Source organism: Homo sapiens, chromosome 12 (genome assembly GCF_000001405.40).
Source record: "Homo sapiens chromosome 12, GRCh38.p14 Primary Assembly".
In the NCBI taxonomy this organism is placed as follows: Eukaryota; Metazoa; Chordata; class Mammalia; order Primates; family Hominidae; genus Homo; species Homo sapiens.
In genome coordinates this window covers 45,696,065-45,700,964 of record NC_000012.12, presented here as the reverse complement: position 1 = coordinate 45,700,964, position 4,900 = coordinate 45,696,065, and the positions used below count along the sequence as shown (strand labels likewise).

Sequence of the window (4,900 nt, the reverse complement as noted above, 5' to 3'; positions counted from 1 at the left end):
AGACCAATAAAAATATAGGACATTAAATCTATAGAATACTATGCAAAATTTATATTCTGGTTCCACAGGCAATCAGGAATGATACATATGGCAATATCTCAAGAAAATTATTTCAAATTTGTCCTCGTAGATTTACAAGGTAGTTAGATTCAATATTTCAGTTGAAAAACATGATAGATAAGCATTCATTTGAGATAAGTAATGATCTTAGTATTAGCTAAAGATTTAGCCATTTATTCATCTCTTCTTAGTATATTTAGATAACTCTTTAGATAACTGTAAAATTCTTGGAGAAAGAATTTTTTCTATTCTTAAGGAAGAATAAAAAAAGTGTCTCCTGTTTCTTATTATTGAAGTTATACGCATATCTCAGTGGGAACGGGAAATATGCAAAGACAGTTTTGTATCCTTTTATATAAAAAATTACTCTTTCACTTGAATGTGATGACTGGAGATATTTTATGGTGGCAGGGTGCATACATAGTATATCTAATATAGCATAGAAAAGGGTTTTTTTTTAGCATCATCAATGAAGACTCTAAGCTTTCAAGGCCCTAGTAACATCAGTAAGAGGCTAGGGAAATTAATAAGCAAAATATTAACAGTAAACAGAAAAAAGATAAGTATAGGGCAGCAGTGTACAACAGTCAATGTGGTTACTCTTTCAAATTTCAGACCATGACCTTGGCTGCAGCTGGAATTTGGGCTCCTGGACAAAGTGATGGCAAAAGACAGCTACTTTGAGCCTTTTGAATTTAAGATCTGTGATACTATATATTGTGCTTACAATGAACAGTATTGACACTCAGTAAATAGAAAAGAATATATCATTTAATAATGATAATTTGAAAAATAGGCTAAGTCTCTGAATAAAGGATTGGCTAAGAAAGCAAAAAACATCAGTATGGTATCAAACACAATACTAAGGACAGAGGTGCTTAATAAATATTTGCCATTAACTATTACTTTGGACAAGTTATTATATTTTTGCACTTTATCTTTTCTAAATCAAAGTGATAACTCCTATAGTTTTCTAATTAGCAGGAGTTAATATTAGTGTTTGAAAAGCACTCTTTTCAGAGTCCCCAGAGAATAGGAATACGTGAAGAACTTTGTGTGGGTTTTTTTTAAGAGAGAAATGAAAAGGGGTGAGAAAACTTATACTCTATCAAATTTGAATTGTGCCGTGAAGGAAAAATATAGTTATGAAACAAAAGAAGAAATACAATTTTGAAACTTTATAGTAGTCCTGTGTCCTAGAAATGGTAAAGCTGGCTTATGATTTGGAGCTGAGAAAGAAAATTTAAGTAATATCTTTGTTGAATGATGTCATCCACTCCAGGACTGCGTGTTGTTGTTTTTTTGTTTGTTTGTTTGTTTGTTTCTGTGGGGAGGGGGTTGGTTGGAATATGTCATGGAGGAATTTCCAGCTATTGCAGTTTCCTTTAGCATGCTACTGAATGAAACTACTGATGGCTCAGAAGACAGCCAGCTCCATGTCTCCATTATGTGCATAGCACACCTTCACAAAAAAATTCTATTTTAAGAACCCCTTTTGGAATCTTTAAAAGCCATCAATATCTTTGAAATAGTAAAACATTTTTGTCGAGCAAAACAACTATGCTTCTCAACTTTTTCCAGTTAAAACAGCCTATGGCAAAAATGGTAATCTTTGTGCAGTAAAATGGGATAAACATAGGAGCTTGCTTACAGAGAAGACCATTCCCACCCAGTTTCCCCAAGGGCAGAGGGGATCAATAGGTTGGAACACCTGTAAGAAATTCAGGCACAAAGGTTGGGATGTTCTACTCTAGAATAGCTGTGGTGTTTGGCAAAGAACAAAGTTCCATGCATAGATGAGTCTTTTTTTTAGATGGAGTCTCGCTGTGTCACCCAGGCTGGAGTGCAGTAGTGCCATCTCGGCTCACTGCAACCTCTGCCTCCCGGGTTCAAGCGACTCTCCTGCCTCAGCCTCCTAAGTAGCTGGGATGACAGGTGCGTGCCACCACACCCGGCTAATTTTTGTATTTTTAGTAGAGACGGGGTTTCACCATGTTGGTCAGGCTGGTCTCGAACTCTTGACCTTGTGATCTGCCCACCTCAGCCTCCCAAAGTGCTGGGATTACAGGCATGAGCCACCGCGCCTGGCCTCAGTGAGTCTTTTTGAGGCTTTGTCATCAAAGTCTCAGTCAACAGTCCCAAAATAAATGTTGCCTGTTGCTGGGAAAGTGAGCAAGCCTTTTAAATAATTTTGCAAAGAACTGTGAGTAAATGACACTCTACTCAACTACAAAGAAATTGGCTGAGCATCCCAAGAGCAAATCTTGAAGAGCTTGATTGAATTTAAGACAAACATTTTAGTTTTTTTTGTTGCTTACTGAAAGAAAACAAACGACCATTCTAGAACAACAGGGAAAAGCCCATTCATGGCTTTGATAAATACCTGAGGTAAATTTTTGATGTAACTTAAGATTGAAGAAGAGGAGATTTGAGAGGATAACCACATAAACTGTCCAGTGATGGAGGAAATGATTCTGCAACTGAGGTGATAAAACTTCATCATGCAACTTGAATTGATAAAGTTTTATCAATTTCCCAGTAGGCAGAGATCCAAAAAACAAGAAACACTACAATCACCGATGTTACAGATGACATATATGTAGCTAAGGCAAAGACAACTCCTCTGTGTCAACTTCACAATCAAGACAAACAGCCTTCTCAATGAAATTTTAAGCAGAATTAAAGCTAACTTTTTGTTTTCTCTGAACAATTTGGTTTTGGTTTCCTATTTGTTTTTCAGAATGAAACTGTTAATTTTTGTATATAAAAAGGAAGACAAATCTTAGTAAAAGTATATTTTTTTAATTTTATGTAAGAAAATCTATTTTCAGTGCAATAAAATTAATTGTATGTGAATCTTTGGGTGCATGCTTCATGTGCGTTTTCTGCAAGGGAGGATCCATAGCTTTCATTTGATTCACAGATGTGTCTGCTCCTCCTCCCCTACTTTCCTCCACTTCAAACTTTATGGGTTACTAATATAGAGTATAGAGTACTCTAGGTCATACAACTCTTCCTTTGCGTGCCCAATAACCTAATTGTTATCACCACTCATTTGGTATTGTGAAATTAAAAAAAAAAAATTCCGAGCCCCCAAACCAACTGAAGAGACTATCTCTCAGCCAAGGGCATCCCAGAGAAACCTTGAAAACTGAGTTCCCAACCATGACGGGATGTGGGTAGAACATGCCTCATTATACCCGCTCCCTCCATAACCACCATAGGCTTTCTTCCCTAAGGGCTAAACAGAAACCAGCCCTTTAAACAACTTTATCACTGATAACCAACTGCCTGATGCCACCCCTTTCCTTTGCAGTTTCAGCACAACAAATTGATAGCAGCAGTAGCCTGTCTGGAGTGGCCACTGCAAAGACGGTGGCTACAGCAGGGCAGGTGGAGCCAGGGTCACAAGTTCCGTGGGGCCAGTGGGAGCTGGGAACAGGCAAGAGCCCTGCCTCCTACCGAGTTGGCAGGGCAGGTGCCTGGGCTCCCAAGTGCAGCTGCAGCTACCCAGCCATGGATCCGGACCTGGGCATCCCTGCACTCTCAGGGACCCGGGAAGCCCCCCTTCTCCCACAGGCTTGGAAGTGCCTGCTCCCACTCCCTGGCCTCTCCCAACTCCCAGGGCCTGCTCTGATTTCAGAGCAAAGTTGAAGCAAGCTGAGCCCAGGCACTGTCGTGACCCTGACAGGTGTGCACACGTTCAAGGCAGCGCTGACATGCTAGCCCTACAACTGCCTCAGCCCCCTCTGAAACTTTGGGCACCAACGAGCTCAGGGAGGCTGGGGGGAACTGAGGGTGGCTCGCCATGAGTCTGCAGGCACCCATTGGCACAAACAGCCTGGGCGCCCTGGACAGCATGTTGATGGCCATGGGAGGCAGACAGGTTCCTGGGCGGAAAGGGGCAGGTCCCTGGTGAAGCCCTACCTTCAAGCCATGGACAGCCTGAAACCTGGGGGCCAGGCTGTCAGTTCCAGCTGGAGTCCAGTCCAGAGTGAGAACTTAGGTGCTTTTTCCGGGCCCACCCATGGCCACACATGGAGCAATCAGCACACACTTCCTCCCTTCTGAGCCCATTAAAAACCCCCAGACTCAGCCAGACTCACACAGATGTCGGGACTACCAGCTACCAGAAGGAGCTACCACTCTGGGTCTCCTTGACTTGTCAGGACAACCTGACTGTGGAAAGCAGCTACCCACTTCGGTTTCCTGAGAGCTGTTCTGTCATTCAATGAAGCTCCTCTCTGCCTTGCTCACTCTCCAGTTGTCTGCATACCTCATTCTTCTTGTTCATGGGACAAGAACTCGGGACCTGCCAAGTGGCAGGACTGAAAGAGTTGTAACACAAACAAGGCTGAAACACACCCCCCCTTTCACCACACTACAGGCGAGAGAAGGAGAGAAGAGCTGCTGTGGCCCTTCTGGGAGACCAGACCTCAGTGCTCCCCAAGTCAGGGCTGTGACACTGTAACACCCTCTTTGGGGCTCTGCAGTTCCAGGCATCTTCAAGCTTCTGGGCGCTGTCATGTTCCCCTTGTTCACAGGGGAAGCTGCTTATGGTACATCTGGTCCAGCCGCAGCCTCACACAGAGCCCCACTTGTGCTGGTGCCTGGAGCCCTGCTGCAGCCAGCACATCTGGCTCTGTGCAGTGGCCAGACCCTGCGCTCACTCACTCACACTTTGCTGCCCCGCACCTGGCTCGCCCTTGGCAGGTGTGGGATTCTGGCCAATAGTGCCAGCCGAGTGCAGCCTGCCAGCCAAGTGGCCACAGCAAGCCCAACAGCCACAAGCAAAGCCCAAGCAGAGGCCCCTCTGGCCCAGAGGTTTCTGGCTGGTAAA

At 43.6% G+C, this 4,900-nt stretch overlaps 1 annotated feature.

Moving 5' to 3' along the window:
* Positions 4,096 to 4,264: a silencer, noted in NCBI's record as "fragment chr12:46090484-46090652 (GRCh37/hg19 assembly coordinates)". NCBI's record gives its function as "represses an EF-1alpha promoter that drives an FKBP-Casp9 reporter gene in an ReSE screen in phorbol 12-myristate 13-acetate-treated (for megakaryocytic differentiation) K562 erythroleukemia cells {active_cell/tissue: K562(+PMA)}" and the evidence as "EXISTENCE:reporter gene assay evidence [ECO:0000049][PMID:32094911]".